Raw genomic sequence first — 24,865 nt, forward strand, 5'->3', positions numbered from 1 at the left:
CCCTGAAGGACCCAGAAACCCAACTCCCATCTCTGCCTCAGCCCAAAATGTCTAACTGCCTCCTCCCCATCTCCACTTGGATGTTTCACGGAAGTCCTCTGTCTCAGCATTTCCAGAACTGAACTTCTCACTCCTAATCTCCTCCAACATACCTGCTGTGCTTTGGATATGATGTGTTCGTGCCCCCAAAATCTTATATTGAAATGTGATCCCAGGCCAGGTGCAATGGCTCACACCTGTAATCCCAGCACTTTAGGAGGCTGAGGAGAGCAGATTACTTGAACTCAGGAGTTTGAGCCCAGCCTGTCCAACACGGCGAACCCCGTCTCTACTAAAAATTCAAAAATTAGCTGGGCATGGTGGCAGGTGCCTGTAATCCCAGTCACTCGGGAGGCTGAGGCACAATAATCACTTGAACCTCATAGATGGAGGTTGCAGTGAGCCAAGATTGCTCCACTGCACTCCAGCCTGGGCAACAAAGCGAGACTCTGCCCCCTCCAAAAAAAAAAAAAGAAATGTGATCCAGGCAGGCTGAGAGTGGTGGCTCTCACGCCTGTAATCCCAGCACTTTGGGAGGCTGAGGGGGGCAGATCACTTGAGGCCAGAAGTTCAATATGGGCCTGGCCAACTTGGTGAAACTCCATCTCTACTAAAAATACAAAAATTATTTGGGCATGGTGGTGCACGCCTGTACTTCCAGCTGCTCGGGTGGCTGAGGCACGAGAATTGCTTGAACCCAGTGGGTGGAGGCTGCAATGAGCTGATAGCACCTCTGCACTCCAGCCTAGGCGACAGAGCAAAACTCTGTCTCAAAAAAAAAAAAAAAAAAAAGAAATGTGATTCCTCAGTGTGGAGATTTGGGAGGTGGGGCCTAGTTGGGGGTATTTGAGTTGTGGGGGGGTTCCCTCATGAATAGTTTGGTGCCATTCTAGGTAGTGAGTGAGTGAGTGAGTTCTGGCTCTGGTGAGGCTGGATGAGTTCTCACAGGAATTGATTAGTTCCCAAGAGAGTAGGTTGTGCTAAAGCCAAGATGTCCCTTGGATTTGGGCTGGGATTTCAGGCACGTGCCACAGCGCCCGGCTAATTTTTGTATTTTTAGTAGAGACGGGGTTTCACCATGTTGGTCAGGCTGGTAAAGACCAAAACACTTCTAATATTAAATATTAAAGTAAATGTGAACTATATATATATTTAAGACAGATTAATGAAAATGAGCAAGATAATTATTTATCCAATTATTCCATCTCAGGGTCACAGGTGGCCAGTCTATCCTGGCAGCTCAGGACAGGAACCAACCCTGCACAGGATGCCAGCCCATTGTGTACACGTGTGCGCACGTGCACACACACACACACACACACACACAGAGACTGGGACAATTCAGACAAGCCAATTCACCTAAAGGGCACATCTTTGGGATGTGGGAGGAAACCAGAGGAACCAAGGAAAACTCAGACATGGGGAAAGAGTGTAAACTACACAGACAGGGGCCCCAGCCAGGAATCAATTTTTTCTCATCAATGTTATAATTGAAATGATGTTACTGGAGGCCCTGCTCTACTTAACTCCCCCAAGAACCCTAAAAGTCTCAATCCCAATACATCACTGGCTCATAATGGATCTTGCCATGTAAATTGGGTCCAGATGTGGATGAGGTTCCTCAGATATAATTCCTTAAGAACGGCTCTGAGCACTGTTCCTCTGAAGGCCTGTGAGCTAGAGATGTTATCTGCTGTCCACGGACCCAGCATACAGAGTTGGCAAGAAGAAGATAAGCATAGTAGACACTTTTGTTCAAAAGGGGAAAAAACAGGAGCGACAGCTGCCACTGGGTCATAGTAATTCTGAAATCAGCGAGGCACGTGATGCCAGTTCCTTGATTCGAGTCCCCTCCTGCTCCTTGGGAATGATTATCTGCAGCTCCTGGCTCTATCCTCTTGGCTCATGGGTTTCTTCTAAGTTGTCCTTTCTTTCCCATAGGAAATAGTCCATGTTTGCATCTGAATAGCCTTCTCAGAAGGCTTCTTAGAAGGCTGGGGCCCACATGTCCCATTTTATTTTTGTGCTCTGCCTTTTCTGGTATAATTGTCCCTTGCTATTTGTGGTGGATTGGTTCTAGGACTCAGATGCTCAAATCCTGCAGTCAGCCCTGCCAAACCTGGGGATGAGGACTACTGCATTCCCAGTTGCTACTTTACCTTCAAACCTAGCATTTTGATTGGCTGCCTAACGGGGTGGAATTATCATAACTCTTGGCCTTTGAAACTATTTTCAGTTTTCATTCCCCTGAATACTCTGCAAATTGTACACATTGAGCACCTACTGTACCCCAACACTGTTTCAAGAATCAGGGATATCGCAGTGAATGAGACAGACAAAAATAGCTGCCTTGTGGAGCTGCCATTCTAGTGGGGAAGACAGACAATATGCAAATAAGTGAGTAGTATAAGAGGAAAAACTTTGGGAGGCTGAGTCGGGAGGATTACTTGACACCATTACTTGACACCAGGAGTTCAAGACTGCCTGGGTAACATAGTGAAAACTTCTCTTTACAAAAAAAAAAAAAAAATTAGCCAGCCATAGTGGTGCACGCCTGTGGTCTCAGCTACTCAGGAGGCTGAGACAGGAGGATCACTTGAGCCCAGAAGTTCAAGGCTGCAGTAAGCCCTGATTATGCCACTGCACTCCAGCATGGGCAACAGAGCAAGAACTTTTCTCAAAAAAAAAAAAAAGAAAAAGAAAATAAAAAAGAAAAAACAGAGGAGAAAAGCAGTAGGGAGATGTCAATTTTTGTGTTTGTATTGTGGTGACAGGGAGAGGGACTTCAGTTTTAAATAGGGAAGGCTATTTCACTGAAAAGGTTACTTTAAAGTCAAGACCAGAGGAAAGTGAGGGAGTGGCCAAGCAGATACCTGGAGGAAGAGCTTTCCAGGTAGAGAGAAGTACAACTGCAGAGGTCTGATGTAGATGTGTGCCTTCTCTTTTCTTTTTTGTTTATCTTTTGGAAGAGACAGTCTTGTTATGTTGCCCAAGCTGGTCTTGAACTCCTGGGCACATGCAAAGTGAAAGCAGAGAAAGAGTGGACTTACCCCAGAGGCGGATGGTTCTGCAGTGTGCAAGGCCATTTCAGAATACACATAGAGAAAACAGGAGAATAGGTGGTGAGGGTTTTGGGGAAAGAGCCAATTTTGGTTGAAAAAGTAGGGGAAACCCCAGACATTGTACCATCTCAGGGTTGAGACTGCTTGCCTAGCTTTTGAGATTTTTTTTTTCCCCAGACCCCTCAACTCCTGAGATCTTATCGGGAAGCTGCTGATCACCAGTTTTAGGTGTTTTTATCTATTGGGAGACTGCCTTTCTCTGGTCTGGCTGCAACCAATTATTATTTTAGAGAGACAGCTTAACCTGACAACCACGTCATGGTTGCCTCACATTGCTGGTCGGGGAGTGGCCCCTCTCCTGCCCTGCTCAGGTCTGACTACTTACTGTAACAATTGCAAGGTTTTTGGATGGAACAATTGAAAGAATGGAGCTTGCATGAACCAAAATAAGAAAAGACTATGAGAGGGCATTGTTGAAGATGGAGGCAAAAATTCTGAGTGGATCCTGATGTGTTCGGATGGGGCTGGTGCTTGGGAGGCTGCTCTGTGCTTACAAGAAGAGTTCTACCCGGTCCATCTTTATCACATCTTCTCTAATACTAAGTTCAGAGAGGCTTTAGCTCATTTTCCATTTTCTTGGGCTGTCTCCTCTGCCAGACAAAGTGCCTATTTCTCCTGTCTCTATCACCGAGCCACACAATTGCTGTAGTCATTTGCAGTCTACTAGAACGATAACACATATTGGCATCAGACAGATCTTGGTTCAAAACCTCGCTCCACCAGTTTCTGTGTTGAGCTAGACCAAGTGACATGATATACTGAGTCTCAGTTCCTTATTTGTAAAATGGTGATAATAATTTTTGGTTAAGTAATTAAAGTAAGGATAAATGATGCCTTTCGAAGAAGGACACAACTGGAATGGCCAGTTTACCCCTTGTCCCCTCTTCGGTGGCATTATTTATTCTGGAGTAAGGAGGGATGGCTGAGGGAATCTGTCTGTGGGTCCAACATGGCGCCGTCCTGCTCCTTGTATGAGCCTCAAAGATGGGGACAACCATTTGGGGGCAGACATGTTTGTAGCACGAGATCCAGGCTCAGTCCCGAGGCAGCCGGAACGTGACGCAAGGTTGAGGCGGGGCTCCTCCCCCGCACCCTGGCGTCGAGCGTCTCGTGACAGGTACTTCCGCTCGGGGCGGCGGCGGTGGCGGAAGTGGGAGCGGGCCTGGAGTCTTGGCCATAAAGCCTGAGGCGGCGGCAGCGGCGGAGTTGGCGGCTTGGAGAGCTCGGGAGAGTTCCCTGGAACCAGAACTTGGACCTTCTCGCTTCTGTCCTCCGTTTAGTCTCCTCCTCGGCGGGAGCCCTCGCGACGCGCCCGGCCCGGAGCCCCCAGCGCAGCGGCCGCGGTAAGCAGCGGGCCCAGCCCGGCCGGCGGCCTGGCCCCATCCCCCCCCTCAGCCCCTCGGTCGCCAGGGCCTCGCGTCCTCCCTGTCCTCCTGGGCAGGCTCCAGTCCCAGCCCTGGCCACGCGGGCACACCCGGCATCGCTCAGGCCCCCGGAGCAGGCCAAGACCCCACCCGGCTTGGAGAGGTCGGAGGTCGTCGGGCGTGACCTCTGGCCGGGTTGCCCGCCCCGGCCACCCGTCTCGGACGCTCTGTTTACTGTTGGCCTGGATCTCAGAGACCCGAGAGGGTTCCTTGACTTGGGCGGCCCTGCGCCGCGGCAGGACGCGCTGGCCAGTGGAGTTCCTTAGCGCGGCGAGCAGGAGGGTGTCAGAGCCCACGCCGCCCGCCGCCGTGCCCACCCGGCGGGCATGGGTCACAGGCGCTGGGGGCCGAGCCGCGTTCCCATCCGGTTCTTCAGTTGAACAGCCTGACCCTGTTAGTGGGAGTTCCCTGACGGCAACTGAGTCAAGGCAGTGAGTCAGGTCACGTGCGCTGGGCTCGCCTCGACACTTGTGTACATTGAGGCGCCTCTGGCGCTGGGAGACAGGGAGCTTTTTGTCCTAGGCATGTTACGGTAAATCCTGAGAGAAGTTTTTCAACTTAATCGAGGAAAGATGGTAGTTGGATGTAGAGTTGTGTTTCCATTCCGACCGTGTTTGGGGCCTCTTTCTGCATTCATTTTAGGCTTGATACCTAATGGGGTCATAAGGGGAATATTGAGAATATTGACAGCAAATATTTGAGCGTTTATTGTATGCTAGGCAGCGTGGCAAGACCTTTTAACAGATCATTATGTTTAGTTCTTTGAACAACCCTCTGAAGTACCACTGTTGTGCCCACTTAACACAGTGGGAAGTTGAACAGAGAGGCTAAGCCATTTGGCCAAGGTCACACAGCTAATAAGTTACGAAGCAGAGATGCAAGCCCAGGCAGTCAGACTCCAGAGCACTGTATTAAATTTCTAGGTTGTACTGCTTTCACGTACCCCTGAAGCTTGCTGGTTTATCTTTTGCTACCTGGTATCTGTACCTCAGTGCCTCCCACCACCTCCTTTCTTTCTATTGATGTCATTTGAAAGTCTTTCTGGTAGCATCAGTTCTCCCTTAAAGCCATAAGAAATGCCGTTTGCGACTTATCACACATATTGTGGTGTAGTGTCACCGAATTAGGAGCTCTTGAATACCGGCAGGGTACTTAACTGAGGTTTGAAAAATTTTGCAGGTAGGCCTGGCAAACCTGCCTAGTGAACCTTTCTTACAACCTTAGTTGATGGCTGTCCAGCCGGCTGGTTCTTCCCTATTCAAAATACTGCATCTTTGGTTTCCTAAAGAACGGACTCTTGTCTCTTTCTTGTGACTTAAGCAGCTGATGAAGCACATGATTTCTCATCCATGGATGAATAAAGTCTCCTCTTAGTGTGTTTCTCTCTTCAAACTTGGGAAGGTTTGTTCAGATTTGAGTTTAAGGACTGGAAGGTGAGTTAGGAGTACTTCTTCTGAAGAAGGGACCGGCTAAGTTAAAGCTTAGCGTTCACAATCCTGTTGTATTCATATTTGTCTTTTTTTTTTTTAACTTTGCTACCTAGCCTAAAATATTTAAGTGAGTAATAAGTACTGTGGCTTTATATAATGTTTGAGTTTAGAGTAATGATAGGCACCTTTTTATTCATTCATTAAGTATTTTGAGTATCCATTGAGTATCAGCAATGTATCAGGCATTGTGGGACATTGACTCAGGGAGATAGGCGTGGTTCCTGTCCTCAAGGAATTTTTAAAAGGTGAATGATCTTGGCCAGAAATTCTGTTGTGGAATAATTTGGCGGTAGAACTTGAGGCTTTTTGGAAAGAGTTATTTCTCATCTCTGCTGGTGAATCAGTAGTAACCCAAAGGATGGTGTTCTTCTGGCTAACTTTAAGGCTTTGTTAATTTTAACAACAGCATTTGTATGGTTTGCTCTTCAGAGAGTGTAGAAGATAATATTACAGTTTCTAATTAATCACATCTTTTAAAGAGTAACCTTCAACACTCAACTTGTTTCTCCTTTTGCTCTAGTGGCATTTATTTTATTTTATTTATATTTTGAGACGGAGTTTCCCTCTTGTTGCCCAGGCTAGAGTGCAATAGCGCGATGTCGGCTCACTGCAACCTCTGCCTCCCGGGTTCAAGCCATTCTCCTGCCTCAGCCTCCCGAGTGGCTGGAATTACAGGCATGCGCCACCATGCCCAGCTAATCTTGTATTTTTAGTAGAGACAGGTTTTCTCCATGTTGGTCAGGCTGGTCTCGAACTGCCTACCTCAGGTGATCCGCCTGTCTCGGCCTCCGAAAAGTGCTGGGATTACAGGCATGAGCCACTGCGCCCGGCCGACTCTGGTAGCATTTTTTTGTTCACTCAAGAGGTAGTCCATGTCACTACTGTAATTACCTTGCACTGCCATGTCTTTGAGCAAAGGTACATTTGGCATGCTGGATTTTTTTCTTCAGCTGGCAAGAAAGTTTAATGTAGCACTGATAGTGTACTGGCCATAGTTTCAGTACCATTCTACATAGAAAAGCTGTGTTACCCTATCTCCCACAACTTTCTAGATTCCCTTCTTTAAGGGAAGATTTGGATTTTACATTTGTGGTAGAACTGCATAAGTAAACAGAGGGTGGAATGTAGAAGATAGTCTAAAAATAGTTTTATTAGTATATCCTTCTAGGTAGTTAGCAACCACTTGGGGCAATTTTTTTTAAAATTTTTTTTTAGTGCCAACTGTGTCTAAGCTCACCAACCCTGTAATCAGAGAACAACTCTTTATAGTAAAGTGTGGCTTTGAATCAGTTTTCTGACCCCACTGCCAAGTGAAGCCAAAAAATTTTGGTTATTTGATTAGCTTTTAATATGTCTTCAGCTGGGCACGGTGGCTCACGCCTGTAATCCCAGCACTTTGGGAGGCCGAGGCAGGTGGATCATGAGGTCAGGAGATCGAGACCATCCTGGCTAACACAGTGAAACCCCATCTCTACTAAAAATACAAAAAATTAGCCGGGCGTGGTGGCGGGCGCCTGTAGTCCCAGCTACTCGTGAGGCTGAGGCAGGAGAATGGCGTGAACCCAGGAGGCAGGGCTTGCAGTGAGCAGAGATCATGCCGCTGCACTCCAGCCTGGGCGACAGAGCGAGACTTCTTCTCAAAAAAAAAAAAAAAAAAAGTCTTCAAAGGGATCTTCACTAATAACGTTTTTGCTCTTACTTTGGCATTAGACTTTGTAAACAAAGATGTAGCAAACACAGACCACGCAAATATGACAGTTGTCTTATGCACATTCCTCTCTGGCATTTGACACAAATATTTTAGTTTTTCCTATGATAAAGTATTTATCTCCCCATTCATTTAATTCAACAAATACAGCTGAGATAGATTTGACCAGATGTTGGACTTGGAGCTGTAGGCAGGCTTTTCCTGGGGAGGTAAGGATTAGAAGTCCTCCTGAATAAGGCTAAACAGAGGTTCCCCTTGGCATTAAATGTCTTCTTCTGAAGGCGACTGAAACTCGAGAAATGAACTCCCCGCCTCCCCCCTTATTTTTTGGCTATTGGCTTGCTGTTGATGATTCTTACCTCTCATGTAAGGAAGGCTACCATTGTATTCTCAGGCATCCATTCCTTTGTGTTACCACATGCTTATCTGTTAATATTATCTAATAGTTCTCTATGCTTCTCTGTCTGCAGTTTGCTGCAGAAACATTTTTGCAATATGCTGATCTTTTCAGTTATTTGCTCTTAAATCTTCTATTCTGTTTTTCCCCACACTCCATATGGCATTAAAGACAGAAAAATAGTTTGTGTTTTAAAACTTTTTTTTTTTTTTTAGACGGAATCTTGCTTTGTAGCCCAGGCTGGAGTGCAGTGGTGCCATCTCAGCTCACTGCAAGCTCCACCTTCCAGATTCATGCCATTCTCCTGCCTCAGCCTCCCGAGTAGCTGGGACTACAGGCACCCACCACCACGCCCGGCTAATTTTTGTATTTTTAGTAGAGACGGGGTTTCACCGTGTTAGCCAGATTGGTCTTGATCTCCTGACCTCGTGATCCACCCGCCTCGGCCTCCCAAAGTGCTGGAATTACAGGCGTGAGCCACCATGCCCAGCCTAAAACTTATTTTTAAAACATTTCTTAATGGTGGTGGTCACTGCGATTTGTGAATCAGAGGTAAAAGTGATGTGGCGAGTGAAATCAAAACAAGTTTTTTAGCAGTGTCTGTTACCAGTTTCAATTTTAGTATCCCAGGCTGTGATTACAAAAACATATTTAAGAATAGCTACTTGCAAAATATCTCCTTGTGGGAGGAAGAAAGCTTGGGAGTTGGTTCCAATGCTGACCTACAGCATTGGCCTTGTTCATTTGCTTGAAGATGCAGTACTTAACTCATGGGGCCTGGAGTCTCTGTTTTGGTGATGGCATCACTGCTGAGAAATTTAAGTTTGCCTGATTCTGTTGTCCACTTCTGGTGTCCTGGGACTGTCTACAGTTGGGACCAAGCAAATCCAAGGGAGCCTATTTAAGGGGAGCCTGGGACAAGGGCAGTTTAGGAATTCTCCAGCCTTGCTTGTCTCTTAGTTGGTCCTTCTTGTGTGGCTGCTGCCAGATAAAGGAAAGGAAGTTCTCTCTTCTCCCTCAGCCTTTCCTTTCCAGCTTTGCTTCATACTGCTGGGCATTAACCATCTCAGATCAGGAGTCCTTTAAAAGTTACTTAGTGAAGTAAATAGTTACATCATTGATTTCCAATATTGGTATGTAAGTGTAATAAAAAGTTGGTTTCCATTGAATAAGCTTTGTAGTTTGAGTTATTTGAGAGTGCATAATTACAAAGCTGCTATGAATTAACCTTAAATAACCAAGCATAGACTTTATGAAAAATAGTGTCCCTTATATGTGGTATTCAGTCAGCCTACCAACAGTTCTTCTGTTCACTTACAGATATGAGGATCCCTGAGATAACTGCGGGTCATTTAAAACCCACTCTTAAATCCTCTGACCTGCACCATGTTAATGGTTGTTAAAAAAGCGATAACATTTTGTAGAAACCTTCCTACACATTTGCCTTTAAATGCTTTTTAATGTTTCTGTGGTATTTGTAGTTTACATGTGATTTCATTTGGTGCTCACAACTGTTGTGTGTATCTGCCTGAAATAGCTGAGGCTGTATGCTCAGGTGGCTCAGCTGGAATGTCAGTCTAGGTCTGCTAACTCAGTTCAGTGCTCTTTCTGATGTACCATCCTGCCTTTCCATTATATGCTAGTGCCCTAAAGACCACGACATTTCACCCCTTGTAAAAGTGTATCTTTCGGCCGGGGGCGATGGCTCACACCTGTAATCCCAGCACTTTGGGAGGCCGAGGAGGGTGGATCACAGGGTCAAGAGATAGAGACCATCCTGGCCAACGTGGTGAAACCCCGTCTATACTAAAAATATAAAAATTAGCTGGGCATAGTGGCATGCACTGTAGTCCCAGCTATTCAGGAGGCTGAGGTAGTAGAATCGCTTGAACTGGGGAGGCGGAGCTTGCAGTGAGCCGGGATCGTGCCATTGCACTCCAGCCTGGCGACAGAGCAAGATTCCATCTCAAAAAAAAAAAAAAGTGTCTCTTTCTTCCACTACCTTTTTTTTTTTTCTCTCTCTGAGACAGAGTCAAGCTCTGTCGCCAGGCTGGAGTGCAGTAGCATGATCTCGGCTCACTGCAACCTCCGCCTCTCGGGTTCAAGCAATTCTCCTGCCTCAGCCTCCTGAGTAGCTGGGGCTACAGGTGCACGTCACCATGCCCAGCTAATTTTTGTATTTTTAGTATAGATGGGGTTTCACCATGTTGGCCAGGATGGTCTCAATCCCTTGACCCTGTGATCCGCCCGCCTTGGCCTCCCAAGGTGCTGGGATTACAGGCGTGAACCACCACGCCTGGCCCACTACCTTTTATTTAAAATGATACGTCTTTTTTGCTGATTATTAAACTATTCAGTTAAAAAAAAAAAGCTAGGAAAATTCAGAAATATAAAGAAGGAAAATTTGTGATTCACTACCCCGAGGAAGACCAAAGTGTTAACTGGTTATTTTCTTCCTTTGAATGTATACTTTCATACCTTCCTTTAATGAGATTGAACTCTTGGCCAGGCATGGTGGTCAGTACTTTGGGAGGAGTAATCCCAGCACTTTGGGAGGGTAAGGCAGGAGGATTGCTTGAGCCCAGGAGTTCAAGACCACCTTCAGCAACAAAGTAAGACTCCATCTCTACAAAGAAAAGAAAAAATTAGGTGGGTGTGGTGGTACACTTGTGGTTCCAGATGGTGGGAGGCTGAGACGGGAGGATCACTTGATTCCAGGAGTTTAAGGCTGCAGTGGTTTGTGTTCGTGGCACTGCACTCCAGCCTGGGTGGCAGAGCAAGACCCTGTCTCAAGAAAAAAGAAATTGAACTCTCCCCAAAAATGATGTGAGAATTTAACTGTGGAGGAGACCAGATACTCTTGGGTGATGTGACCTGTGATACTTCTCCTAGTAGACACTGAATGATGAGAAGCTGGGGATCATAGGAATAGCTGTATTTTTCAAATGTTTGTTGGTAACGAGTGAGGAACCTGATGCATCCAGCTCCAGAGTAAGGTTTATTTGCCATGGTAACACTGGATAAGTACATTGTTGCCTGTATTTCCAAGTAATTTATCATTTCTGTATTTTAGTAAACATACATATATACAGAAAAGTGCACAAATAAGTGGACGGCTTAGAGAATTTTTATAAACCCAGAGGCCCTCTTAGTCTCCTTTAAGTCATTATCATCGATGCCCTGATGCTTGCGTAGTGAGTCTTCTGATTTCTAGAACTGTAGACTAATTTTGCCTGATTTGGATTTTGTGTAAATGGAATCATACACTGTGTATTCTTGCGTATCTGGTTTCTTTGACTCAGTGTTGTTTGTGAGACTTTGTGTTGTTGTGTACAGTTGTAACTGGAGTTTCCATTGCTCAGTAGTATTATGTGATATATCATAATGTATTTAAGTAAAAAGACTGAGTTTTAGGGTATGTGTCTGTATTCATTTGCTAGGGCTGCCGTAACAAGTATCACAGATAGAGTGGCTTAAACAGAAATTTATTTTCTCAATTCTGAAGGTTAGAAATCTGAGGTCAAGCTGTCGGGAGGATTAGTTTCTTCTGAAGCCTCTCCTTGGTTTGTAAATGACTGTCTTCTCTTCCCTGTATCTTCACAGGATCTTTCCTCTGTATTGGCTGTGTCCTATTCTCCTTTTCTTTTAGGACACCAGTCGTATTGGATTGAGGCCCACCCTTATGACCTCACTTAACCTCAGTTACTTCTTTAAAGGCCCTGTCTGCAAATAAGTCACATTCTGATATATTGGGGATTAGAATTTCAACTTAAAAATTTTAGGTGGACACAGTTCACTTCATAAGAGTATCTATTCTGCTCTAGTAGATATGGCCAGTTTTCAAAAGTTGTACCAGCGTATTCTTCCACCAGCAGTATATAAGAAGTCCAAATATTCCACATCCTTGCTAGCACTTGTAACTTTTTCTCTCTAATTTTAGTTCCCTCTGGTAGAAAGCCATTTCTTTATGGCACCATGGTACAGCTTGTTTACTCACCAGTGTAGGGGAACCTCAAGGGACTGGGGAAGGTTATCCTGGAGTAAAACGTGTCAGTTTGAGACTACCTCTTGTAAATGCTACTTAAATCCATTGGGGTTAAAAGCAGAGGTTCGGCCAGGCACAGTGGCTCATGCCTGTAATCCCAGCACTTTGGGAGACCGAGGTGGGCGGATCACTTGAGGCCAGGAGTTCAAGACCAGCCTGGCCAACATAGCGAAACCCTGTGTCTACTGAAAATACAAAAAATTAGCCAGGCGTGGTGGTGGGCACTTGTAATTCCAGCTACTTGGGAGGCTGAGACATGACAATCGCTCGAACCTGGGAGGTGGATGTTGCATGAGAATCGCTTGAACCTGGGAGGTGGAGCTGAGATTTCACCACTGCACTCTAGCCTGGGCGACAGAATGAGACCCTACCTCAAAAAAAAAAAAAAAAAAAAAAAGGAAAGAAAAGAAAGAAAGGAAAACACCGCTTCAGTCCAGTGAATGAGCAGTTAGTCTTCCATAGTTGCCCATAGCTTACTTTTATAGTCTGGACTCCATTCCTGGTGGTGGAATTGGCCTGTGAAAGAGTAATCTGTGGGGTGTAGATCTAACCATAGTAGATGGTGCTTTCATTCCAACTCTCTTTTTTGGTCAGACACTTGAGCCCTTAGAATATCACATTCTATCGTACATATGCTAGAAATAGGTCTGTTTTGCATATTCTGACTGACCCTTCAGATATTAGTGGGCCTTTCACCACCAGCCTTTTGGCTGCGTGATCTTCAGCTTTGTGTATCCATTATAGACCTTAGTTTGATTGAAATAATATTACATGACTTTGCCTGTCTTCCAACTCTAAGCCACTTGAGGACAAGGATGAATCATTATTCTAGAATGGATCTTGAAATATTACTAAGCTTTTGTTTAAATTTTTTCCAGTTCTAGCTTTTCAGAGTAAGTTACCGTTTATAGCATGTAAGTTATGCTTCTGGGTCAGTGGTTAATATATGTGGGTTTCCTGAATGATGAACTATGTGTTCTGTGTTCATTTAACAGGTTTTTCTTCTCTACTATAAGAAAACACTGTTGGCCCCTGTGGAGAATTATTCAGGAATAATTGTAAATACAGGGCAGATGAGAGTTACTTAGTTTAGAGTTGTTCAATGCCTGGGGTGGTGAGGGGCATGTTGAGTGGATTTTTAAATAAATTGGTAGGCAGGTGAGAGTTGGGAAACCATTATAGTTGGAAAGAATGGCATAAGTCAATGAATGGATGTAGGGATTGCAGTAGCTCTAATTTGGGAATGACTGTATGTATGGAAACCAGATCCTGGTAGGGAGGGCAGGCACTGCAATCCCTTGTTAGAGGATTTAAGTTCAACCAAGTGGCACTTCACTCTGTAATGCTGGAATAGACACAGCATAATCCTGTCACTTGAACCTCACAATTAAGTCAGATAGTACCCCAGTTATGGGTGAGGAATGGCTTTGATGTTGTAATTTGTCTAAAGAAACCATACATTAAGAGCTTAGTGGGCTAGGATTGAAATACTACAAGAGTTGTGCTTAAACTTTCAGAGAGTTGCTTCTTCAGAAGTGGCTTTAATGAAAAGTTAAACATGGGAGCTGGTTAGGGGAGGTGGGATAGAGGAAGAGAGCAGTTAGTTTGGTTTTCCTCTTTAGCCAGCCCATTGTGGGCTCCTCTTAGCAATTTATGGGCAGTCTGTTTTACTGGTTAAATGCCTGAGATAATCTAGGGTTGATATCAAACTATCGAAGATAGTTCTTATGTAACTGTTTTACTAGCTATCTGCTTTCCAGTTTGCCTTACCAAAAAGAAAAAAAGGCAGGAATCATCCTGGTCTCTCGTTAGAGACTAAACTTTTGGCTTAGTACCTGGGTTCAGAAAGCTTGATGACAGTGGTGCATCGTATTGAAGAATCTATTGATCCAGGAGTGAAGTCCTCTTCACAAGAATTGCCTTCCAAGACACTCTTCTTTGTGTAAGTTGCCTTTGCCTTTTCCCTCCCAGCAGGAATGCAGTACTCAGAGCAAAGTACATAAACAATGTCTTTACATTTCATAGAGGTTGTTACCTTGTTTAAACTTCACAATTTAAGCAGCATTTGATTTGTCTCTTTTTTTTTTTTTAGATGAGGAAATGGACTAAAAGGTCATGCTCAGTATCTTGGAGCCACTGTGTGTTAGTGGGACTGGGACTAGCATCCAGTATTCCAAGTTGACAGATAATTCTTTAATAATGGCAGAAGAATAATAGCATCTTCTGCGGAAGAACAGCCTTTGTACATTTTATCATTCAGTTTTATTTAAATGTTTTTAAAAGAGGGATTTCAGACTAGTCTGTTTCTTTTGAAACATAGATTTTCAGGTGGTGAATCTTCAAGCACTATCAGACAGAATAAGCTAGGTTATGCTGTAGTAACCAATAACCTCAAAGTGGTCAAAAAGAGCATGGGTTTTCTAGAGGCTCTGCATCATTCTTACTCCAACCAAAGGAGCAGCCGTGATAGGAGTATTGATGGCTGTCTTGGCAAAGGGAAAAAGAACTGTTGGAGGCAGTTAAATTCCAGCACGTACAGTTTAAATCCAGCACATACAGATAAATTTAAATACTGTTAAATAAAGTTATTTAACAGTATTTAAATTTAAAAAAATTTAAATACAGTTGAATACAGTTAAATTCCAGCACAGGAATGACACATTATTTCATGTCACTTCTGCTTAGGGTTCATTGGCCAAAATGAGTCACACCACACAAGGAATCAAGTGTGATCCTACATGTGTGGACTTGGAAGGCACGGAGTTGGAAATATTTGGGAAATAGCACTAGTATCATACTTGGCTTATAATATGTAATAGCTATTGGGGGAAATAGCTCTCATTTGCAGAATCTCTTTCTACAAATCAGCTGGTAATTTAAATGCTAAAAAGAGCTTAGTTATAGATACTGTGTTGCCCGTCTTTACTCACTAATCACCTTCCGATCCTAAGAAATTTATTTATTTATTATTTTTTGAGATGAAGTCTCCCTCTGTCACCCAGGCTGGAGTGCAGTGGCGCGATCTTGGCTCACTGCAAGCTCCACCTTCCGGGTTCACGCCCTTCTCCTGCCTCAGCTTCCCGAGTAGCTAGGACTACAGGCGCCCGCCACCACACACCTGGCTAATTTTTTGTATATTTAGTAGAGACGGGGTGTCACTGTGTTAGCCAGGATGGTCTCGATCTCCTGACCTTGTGATCCGCCTCCCTCAGCCTCCCAAAGTGCTGAGATTACAGGCGTGAGCCACCGCTCCCGGCCTTTTTTTTTTTTTTTTTTTTGAGATGGAGTCTCGCTCTGTCACCCAGGCTGGAGTACAGTGACAGTGCAACCCCAGCTCACTGCAGCCTCTGCCTCCCAGGCTCAAGCGATCCTCCCACCTCAGCCTCCCAAGTAGCTGGGACTACAGGTGTGCACCACCATGCCCCAGCTAATTTTTTATATTTTTGATAGAGATGGGATTTCACCATGTTGCCCAGGCTGGTCTCGAACTCCTGAGCTCCAGCAATCTGCTTGCCTCAGCCTCCCAAGGTGCTGGGATTACATGTGTGAGCCACCTATCTTTCTGTCTCTCTTTTTTTTTTTTTTGAGACAGGGTCTCACTCTGTCACTCAGGCTACAGTACAGTGGTGCCATCATGGCTCACCGCAGCCACGCCCTCCCCAGGCTTAGGTGATCCTCTCATCTCAACTTCCCCAGTAGCTGGGACTACAGGCACATGCCACCACATCTGGCTATTTTTTTGTAGTTTTTTTTTTTTTTTTTTTTTTTTTTTTTTTTAAGAGATAGAGTTTCACCGTGTTGCCTAGGCTTGTCTCAAACTCTAGGCCTCAAGTGATCCTCCTATTTTGGCCTCCCAAAGTGCTAGGATTACAGGAATGAATCACCATGCCCAGCTCTGCCCTGTCTTTAGAAACCCCACTCCCCTTTTTTTTAAGGATTTGTTCTTGTTTTTATTTTATATTTTAATGTTTTGAGACAAGGTCTCACTGTTGCCCAGGCTGGAGTATAGTGGCCTGAACACAGCTCACTGCAGCCTTGACCTCTTGAGCTCAAGTCATCCTCCTACCTCAGCCTCCTGAGTAGCTGGGCTTACAGTTGTGTGCCACTACGCCCAGTTAATTTTGTTTTTTTGATAGTGACAGGGTCTTGGCCATATTGCCCAGCTGGTCCCAAACTTCTGGGCTCAAGTAGCTCGCCCACCCTGGCTTCCCAAGGTGCTAGGATTACAGATGTGAGCCACTACTCGTCAAGAACCCTATGTTTTTCCATTATTCTTGTTTGAGGCTCTCCACAAATGGTCTCCAGCTTGCCTTCCTGGCTTTGTTTTTTTTGATAAAGACACATATTCCTCTGAGTTGCTTTATTCACCTTTTCCTTACCACACTTTGTTCCCTACTTCCTTTATCTTGATTCCTGTCAATTCCCCTTCATCTCTGTTTTCTAGCTCCAGTACTCTGTTGGCATCCTGCCTGACTCAGGTACCAGTCCACTTTTAAAGCTTTTCTTGACCACTTACGTCTATAGTGTTCTTTTTACTGAATCCCTGGGGCTTGCCACAGATTATCTTATAGTTGTGGATTTTGTATATGTATCTTTCCTACCTTAGGAGGGGGCCTTAAGGGTAAGTCCCAGACTGATTTACCTGTTTTTCCCCAAATGTTAACCATTTGAAAGAAAGAACTAAATGGATATTTCTCAAATGGCTTTTGATAGATACATGTACAATACATCTGTTGTCATACCTGGTTGGAAAAAAAAATGCCTGTAAATTCTTCACATTGTTTGAAATCAGTGTGTCAGAAGCTGTAGGATTGTAGAAGCTTTCTTAAGCAAGGCCATAGTATGGCTGTCAAATCTGTTACTAAGCTTTAGTCTCCATTTCTGAAAAACGAGAGTAATGTGTAATCCTTAAGATCCTTTCGTATTTTGACATTCTCTGACTCTTGGACATACTGCTGTGGCTTTTGCAACATCCTAACTGGTTAGTTGACACCATCAGAAACTTTAAGGACCCTGTTAGCCATTGAGTATATGGAGCTTTGCCCATTCGTTTCTGAGAGGCAAGAGGCACTGGTAGGCAGTTAGATTTTTCTTTAAAATGTGTACTCGTTTCTAAATTACAGAAGCAGTATAAAAGTCTTAAAGCGGGCCGGGAGTGGTGGCTCACGCCTGTAATCTCAGCAGTTTGGAAGGCTGAGGTGGGCGGATCACCTGAGGTCAGGAGTTCAAGACCACCAGCCTGACTAACATGGTGAAACCCCGTCTCCACCAAAAATACAAAAAGTAGCTGGGTGTGGTGGTGCGCTCCTGTAATCCCAGCTACTCAGGAGGGTAAGGCAGGAGAATTGCTTGAACCTGAGAGGCAGAGGTTGCAGTGAGCCAAGATCGCGCCACTGCACTCCAGCCTTGCCAACAGAGCAAGACTTCATCTCAAAAAAAAAAAAAAGTCTTAAAGTGAACAGTTTTTTTCTGTCATTCTGGATAATTTGATGGCTATAATTCAAAACGTTTATTTTTTATAAAATTTAAATGAGATCATAAAATACATACTCTTCTGCTATTAGCTTTTTAAAAATTTAACCATATAGTCAGCTTTTCTTATAAGTACATACTATTTTTAATGACTGTATAATATTGATCATAATTTAACAATCCTCTAAATGAACATTTCAGTTATTTCCAGCTCTTTAAGAAAAGTATTTAATAGGGCCGGGCGCAGTGGTTCACGCCTGTAATCCCAGCACTTTGGGAGGCCAAGGCGGGTGGATCACTTGAGGTCAGTTGAAGACCAGCGTGACCAACATGGTAAAACCCTGTCTCTACTAAAAATACAAAATTAGCCGGGCATGGTGGCACATGCCTGTAATCCCAGCTACTTGGGAGGCTGAGGCAGGAGAATTGCTTGAACCTGGTAGGCAGAGGTTGCAGTGAGCCGAGATTGTGCCATTGCACTCCAGCCTAGACAACAAGAGCGAAACTCCATCTCAAAAAAAACAAAAACAAAGAAAAGGGCTGGGCACGGTGGCTCCCGCCTGCAATCAATCCCATCACTTTGGGAGGCCGCCGAGATGGGTGGATCACGAGGTCAGGAGATCAAGACCATCCTGACCAACATGGTGAAATCCCGTCTCTACTAAAACAAATACAACAATTAGCTGGGTGTGGTGGCGTGCACTTGTAATCCCAGCTACTCTGGAGGCTGAGGCAGGAGAATCGCTTGAACCTGGGAGGCAGAGATGGCCGTGAGCCGAGATGGCGCCACTGCACTCCAGCCTGGCAACAGAGAAAGAAAAGTATTTAATATTTATATTTTCCTACTTATCTAATCATTTCCTTAAGATTTAGTGAGTATACATACTTAAAATTTGGTTTTCATTGCCATATAGCCTTCAGGAAGGTTGTATACTTTACATTTTGTAGTTTGAGAATTTCATTTATATACTTGTCAATTGTCAGTTTTCTTAATCCTTGCCAGTTTAATGAATGGGAAAAATTTAAATGATGTCTCATTGTTGAGGGCTTGTGTTTTGGCCAGGCCTGGTGGGTCACTCATGCCTGTAATGCCAGCATTTTAGGAGGCCAAGGTGGGAGGATCGGTTGAGCCCAGGAGTTCAAGACCAGCCTAGGCAACATGGTAAGACCCTGTCTTTACAAAAAGTTAAAAAAAAAAAAAATAGCTGGGTGTGGTGGCACATACTTGTAGTCACACCTACTTGGGAGATTCAGGGGAGGATCACTTGAGCCCAGGAGGTTGAGGCTACAGGAAGCCATGATAATTCCACTGTACTCCAGCCTAGGTGACAGAGGGAGATGTCTCAAAAAAAAAAAAAAAAAAAAAAAAAAGACTTGTGTTTCTTTGTTTGATAGATTAAACTAGAAAAATACTAACTACTTTTTTATATTCACTTAAATTTTGTAGAAATTTAAGTATATATAATTGTATAATAAATGTAGAAAAAATATTAACTACATTTTTTTATATATACTTAAAATTTTTTTTAACTTTCACTTTCTGCTTTTGTATATTTATAGTCTTTTGTGAATTGGCTTTTGTTCTCTAAAGCCCATGTGAGGTTCTTGTACCTCACCTCTCTCCCAGTTTATAAACTTTATATGGCAAGAATTTTGATCCTTTTCGTGTTGCAAACATTATTCCTGGCTTGTATCTCTTGGTCTTGTTTGGCTGATGGCATGTTTTTGTAACATAGAGACTTTTCTGTAGTCACATCTGTCAATTCATTTTCTGTGTTTCATATTATGCTTAGGCCTTTCCCACCCCCAGGACAATAAAAACAATGTTTTCTTCTAGTAATTCTAGCACTTAGCCAGGTATAATATGTCGGAATCTTTTCCCAAATGTATAGTTTTCCCAGTATTTTATTGTATTATCTTTTCTCTTTGACTAGAAATTTTTTTTATCACACAGTATATTTCCTACTTCCATGTCTTTTTTTATTTTTATTTTAAATAGATTTATTTACGAAATAGAGATGGTGTCTCACTATGTTGCCTAGGCTGGTCTCGAACTCCTGCACTCAAGCAATCCTCCCACCTCCACTTCCCAAAGTGCTGGGATTACAGGCATGAGCCACCATGCCTGGCTGTGTCTTTTGTTTTTTAACTCTTCTGTTTCATTCTTTGTCTGTGGGACAGTACTGCTGTCTTATTTGCGTCTGTTTTGTTTTATACGTATATACACAGATACATACACGCATACATATACATACACACAAACATTTTTTTTTTCCTTGGAGACAGGGCATTGCTCTGTCACCCAGGCTGGAGTATAGTAGTGCGATCATGACTCATCGACTCATTGCAGCCTTGGCCTCCCAGGCTCAGGCGATCCTCCCACCTCAGCCTTCTGAGTAGCTAGTATGTCCGGAATTGGTGGGTTCTTGGTCTCACTGACTTCAAGAATGAAGCCGCAGACCCTAGCGGTGAGTGTTACAGTTCTTAAAGATAGCGTGTCCAGAGTTTCTTCCTTCTGATGTTCGGACATGTTCAGAGTTTATTCCTTCTGGTGGGTTCGTGGTCTCGCTGGCTTCAGGAGTGAAGCTGCAGACCTCCACGGTGAGTGTTACAGCTCTTAAGGTGGCACGTCTGGAGTTGTTCGTTCCTCCCGTCTAGAGTTGTTTATTCCCCCCGGTGGGTTCGTGATCTCGCTGGCTTCAGGAGTGAAGCTGCAGACCTTCTCAGTGAGTGTTATAGCTCATAAAGGCAGTGCAGACCCAAAGAGTGAGCAGCAGCAAGATTTACTGCAAAGAGCGAAAGAACAAAGCTTCCACAGTGTGGAAGGGGACCCGAGCGGGTTGCCCATGCTGGCTCGGGCAGCCTGCTTTTATTCCCTTATCTGATCCCAGCCACATCCTGCTGATTGGCCCATTTTACAGAGAGCTGATTGGTCTGTTTTGACAGGATGCTGATTGGTGTGTTTATAATCCCTGATCTAGACACAGAGTGCTGATTGGTGTGTTTACAATCCTCTAGCTAGACGTAAAAGTTCTCCAAGTCCCCACTAGATTAGCTAGACACAGAGCACTGATTGGTGCATTTAGAAACCTTGAGCTAGACACAGAGTGCTGATTGGTGCGTTTACAAACCTTGAGCTAGATACAGAGTGCTGATTGGTGTATTTACAATCCTTTAGCTAGACATAAAGGTTCTCCAAGTCCCCACTAGATTAGCTAGACACAGAGTGCTGATTGGTGTATTTACAATCCTCTAGCTAGACATAAAAGTTCTTCAAGTCCCCACTCGACTCAGGAGCCCAGCTGGCTTCGCCTAGCGGATCCCGTGCCAGGGCCACGGGCGGAGCTGCCCAGCAGTCCCATGCTGCGCACCTGCACTCCTCAGCCCTTGGGCTGCCGATGGGACCAGGCGCTGCAGAGCAGGGGGCGGTGCCCGTCGGGGAGGCTCGGGCTTCACGGGAGCCCACCGCAGGAGGGCTCGGGCATGGCGGGCTGCAGGTCCAGAGCCCTGCCCCACGGGGAGGCAGCTGAGGCCTGGTGAGAATTCGAATGTGGCACAGGTGGGCTGGCGGTGCTGGGGGACCCGGTGCCCCCTCCACATCTGCTGGCCTGGGTGCTAAGCCCCTCACTGCCCCAGGCCGGTGGCGCCAGCCGGCCACTCCGAGTGTGGGGCCCTCCAAGCCCACACCCACCCGGAACTCCCGCTGGTCCGCGAGTGCCGCGCGCAGCCCCAGTTTCCCGCCCATGCCTCTCCCTCCACAACTCCCTGCAAGCAGAGGGAGCCGGCTCCAGCCTTGGCCAGCCCAGAGAGGGGCTCCCACAGTACAGCAGCAGGCTGAAGGGGTCCTCAAGCATGGCCAGAGCAGACGCCGAGGCCGAGGAGGTGCTGAGAGCGAGCAAGGGCCACCAGCATGTTGTCACCTCTCACTGGGACCACAGGTGTGTACCACCATGCCTGACTAATTTTTTTTGTAGAGATGGGGTCTCAGCTTGGACATTGGAATTGCTAGCCAAAGACATTAGAGCAACTGTCAGCAATATGCTCAGTGGACTAAAGGAACCACAGATGAAGAACTGAAGGAGAGCAGAAATACAGTCTCTGAACAAAATCAAGAAAGAGGCTGGGTGCAGTGGCTCATGCCTGTAACGCCAGCACTTTGGGAGGCCAAGATGGGAGGATTGCTTGAGCCTATACGTTCAATATCAGCCTATTCAACATGACAAAATAATTTCTCTCTCTCTTTTTTTTTTTTTTTCTGAGACAGTCTCGCTCTGTCTCCCAGGCTGGAGTGTAGTGGCATGATTTCGGCTCACTGCAACCTCCATCTCCTGGGTTCAAGCGATTCTCCTCCTCAGCCTCCCGAGTAGCTGGGTTTATAGGCGCCCACCACCACACCCAGCTAACTTGTGTATTTTTAGTAAAGACGGGGTTTCACCATGTTGGCCAGGCTGGTATTGAATTCCTGACCTCAGATGATCCACCTGCCTTGACCTCCCAAAGTGTTGGGATTACAGGTGTGAGCCACCGCACCTGGCCAAATTCTTGCTCTTAAAAAAAAAAAAAAATTGGCACATGCCTGTAGTCCAGCTACTTGGGAGGCTAGAGTGGGAGGATCACTTGAGCCCTGCGGTTGGAGGCTGCATTGAGTTATGGTCACATCACTGCACTCCACTGGGTGACAGAGTGAGACCCAGTCTCAAAAAGATAGAAACTATAAAAAGGAACTATACAGAAATTCTGGAGCATAAAAGTACAATAACTGAGATGAAAACTTTATTAGAGGGGTTCACCAATAGATTTGGGCAGACAGAAAGGCCCATACCTGGGTCAGCCCTCTTAGAGGGACTGATCCATTTGGGAGACATTTGAAATTTATTCTCTTAGATATTTTGAAATATGATACATTATTATTTGAAATATGATGCATTATTATCGACTACATTCCACTGTAATAAAAAGAAAACATCACAGTGGAAAGGCCACACTCCTTCATTATCCAGTTGGGAACCTCAGCAGCACAGCCAAGTGATCTGCTAAGCTGCTTTGGGGACCACACCTGTGCCACTTGTATAGCTCCCAGCACAGCCTGGTTCACAAGAATTCCTTATCCTATTGTGGACCTTTTGGCCCAATTAACACAGGCCCACAGGATTTAAAGTTGCCATTGGTCCTTGTGAAAAGCTAACCAGGTAATGTCAGTGTGAGGTCACATACAATGTGTGTGTTTCTGCCCTGCATTTGGCTCAGAGCCACTTGTAATAATTTTTTGCTGTTGAGGTTTCCTTGATACTTCTCTGAAGTCACTTTTTCTTTTTTTCTTTTTCTTTTTTTTTTTTTTTGAGACAGATTCTCGCTCTGTTGCCCAGGCTGGAGTTTAGTGGTGCGATCTCGGCTCACTGCAAGCTCTGCCTCCTGGGTTCACACCATTCTCCTGCCTCAGCATCCCGAGTAGCTGGGACTACAGGCATCCGCCACCACACCTGGCTAATTTTTTTGTATTTTTAGTAGAGACAGGGTTTCACTGTGTTAGCCAGGATGGTCTCAATCTCCTGACCTCATGATCCACCCGTCTCGGCCTCCCAAAGTGCTGGGATTATAGGCGTGAGCTGCCGCGCCCGGCTGAAGTCACTTTTTCATTAAATTTTTCTGGTTAACTTCAAGTACTGCGTGTCTACCTGTTGCCTAAACTAGGGTATGCACTGCCCCAATTCTGCAGGGAGGGTGCAAAACAGCAAAATTAGATGTGACCCATCTTTCTGGAGTTTCAGTTGTACTGTAAAATTTGGAAGAAACAGTAGTTTATTAAGAATCATCTTTTTTTTTGTTTTGGAGACAGAGTTTTGCTTTGTTGCCCAGGCTGGAGTGCAGTGGCATGATCTCAGCTCACTGCAGCCTCTGCCTCCCTGGTTCAAGCAGTTCTCCCACCGCAGCCTCCTGAGTAGCTGGGATTACAGGTGCGCGCACCACCATGCCCAACTAATTTTTGTATTTTTAGTAGAGACGGGGTTTCGCCATGTTGGCCAGGCTGGTCTCGAATTCCTGACCTCAAGTGATCCACATGCCTCAGCCTCCCAAAGTGCTGGGATTACCGGCCTGAGCCACCAGGCCCGGGTGAGCACCATCTTATTAAGAAAAGACACAGAAGAGCAGGGAAGGGGAGAAGTGTTCCAGGAAACACAGTCCAGGCTCTGACATTGCTCCAGGTGGGATGGAGGGACTCACCCCTTACTTTGAATAGGATGCTTTTGAAGGCCACAGGGGTGCCAGTTGTCCTCTTGACTTGAATCCCATGCAGAGACTTTGTTGGCAGTTTGCACACATCCATCCTCTGCTGGTTGAGTCCTCTGAGCTGAGTGTGCTGGTCACACAGCAATGTGGGCTTCTTGACCAGCGCCCCCTGGCACCTATTTAAGTCCATGCTTGGCTGACCTGCCATGCTGTATTGTCAGGATCCATGGAGCTCGGGATCTTGTTGCTTTCTATTCTAAATGCAAGGAGACATTTGAAATAGACTCGGATATTCTGAAATGTCCAAATATTTATTATTGACTGTAGTCACCCTGCTGTGCAGTAGATTAGAAAGTTATTCCTCCTGTCCGAAACATTGTACCCTTTGATAAACAACCCTCCATTATTTCTCTCTCCCACCACCCCAGCCTCTGTTCACCATCAGTCTACTCTCTACTTCTGTGGGTTCAACTGTTTATTTTTAGCTTTTAAATTTTTCTTTGATTTTTAGAGACAGAGTCTTGCTGTGTTACCCAGGCTAGAGTGCAGTGGCTCAATCATAGCTCACTGCAGCCTTGGACTCCTGGGTTCAAGTGATCCTTCTGCCTCAGCCTCTCAATGAGCTGGGACAATAGGCCTACACTGTCACACCTGTTTACTTTTATTTTTTGTAGAGATGCGGTCTCACTGTATTGACCGGGTTGGGGTTCAACATTTTTATTTATTTTTTTTATTTTTTTATTTTTTATTTTTTATTTTGTTTTTGGAGATGGAGTCTCGCTCTGTCTCCCAGGCTGGAGTGCAGTGGCGCAATCTTGGCTCACTGCAAGCTCCGCCTCCCAGGTTCATGCCATACTCCTGCCTCAGCCTCCCGAGTAGCTGGGACTACAGGCACATGCCACCACGCCCAGCTAATTTTTTGTATTTTTTAGTAGAGACG

The 24,865-nt window shown here is 45.1% G+C and overlaps 1 protein-coding gene across 1 annotated transcript in view, besides 5 other annotated features; it reads left to right on the forward strand.

The window, feature by feature from the left end:
• Window positions 4,052-4,181: an enhancer, noted in NCBI's record as "active region_20493". NCBI's record gives its function as "activates an Ori minimal core promoter by ATAC-STARR-seq in GM12878 lymphoblastoid cells {active_cell/tissue: GM12878}" and the evidence as "EXISTENCE:reporter gene assay evidence [ECO:0000049][PMID:35858748]".
• Window positions 4,211-5,195: an enhancer, noted in NCBI's record as "H3K27ac hESC enhancer chr3:128444909-128445893 (GRCh37/hg19 assembly coordinates)". NCBI's record gives its function as "activates a minimal SCP1, AML or CMV promoter by ChIP-STARR-seq in primed H9 embryonic stem cells {active_cell/tissue: H9 hESC(primed)}" and the evidence as "EXISTENCE:reporter gene assay evidence [ECO:0000049][PMID:30033119]".
• The window catches only part of RAB7A (RAB7A, member RAS oncogene family), an 88,616-nt gene continuing 68,078 nt past the window's right edge, over window positions 4,328-24,865 (forward strand). Inside the window, exon 1 of the mRNA NM_004637.6 lies at window positions 4,328-4,504. The gene's annotated coding sequence lies outside the window, so the exon portion shown is untranslated. The remainder of the gene's footprint in view (window positions 4,505-24,865) is intronic.
• Window positions 4,462-4,751: a silencer, noted in NCBI's record as "silent region_14711". NCBI's record gives its function as "represses an Ori minimal core promoter by ATAC-STARR-seq in GM12878 lymphoblastoid cells {active_cell/tissue: GM12878}" and the evidence as "EXISTENCE:reporter gene assay evidence [ECO:0000049][PMID:35858748]".
• Window positions 9,493-9,662: an enhancer, noted in NCBI's record as "experimental_64587 CRE fragment used in MPRA reporter constructs". NCBI's record gives its function as "activates a minimal promoter by MPRAs in K562 erythroleukemia cells, with activity observed for both the introgressed and non-introgressed 3:128450276 variant alleles {active_cell/tissue: K562}" and the evidence as "EXISTENCE:reporter gene assay evidence [ECO:0000049][PMID:34662402]".
• Window positions 12,971-13,020: an enhancer, noted in NCBI's record as "active region_20494". NCBI's record gives its function as "activates an Ori minimal core promoter by ATAC-STARR-seq in GM12878 lymphoblastoid cells {active_cell/tissue: GM12878}" and the evidence as "EXISTENCE:reporter gene assay evidence [ECO:0000049][PMID:35858748]".

Source organism: Homo sapiens, chromosome 3 (genome assembly GCF_000001405.40).
Source record: "Homo sapiens chromosome 3, GRCh38.p14 Primary Assembly".
NCBI lineage: Eukaryota > Metazoa > Chordata > Mammalia > Primates > Hominidae > Homo > Homo sapiens.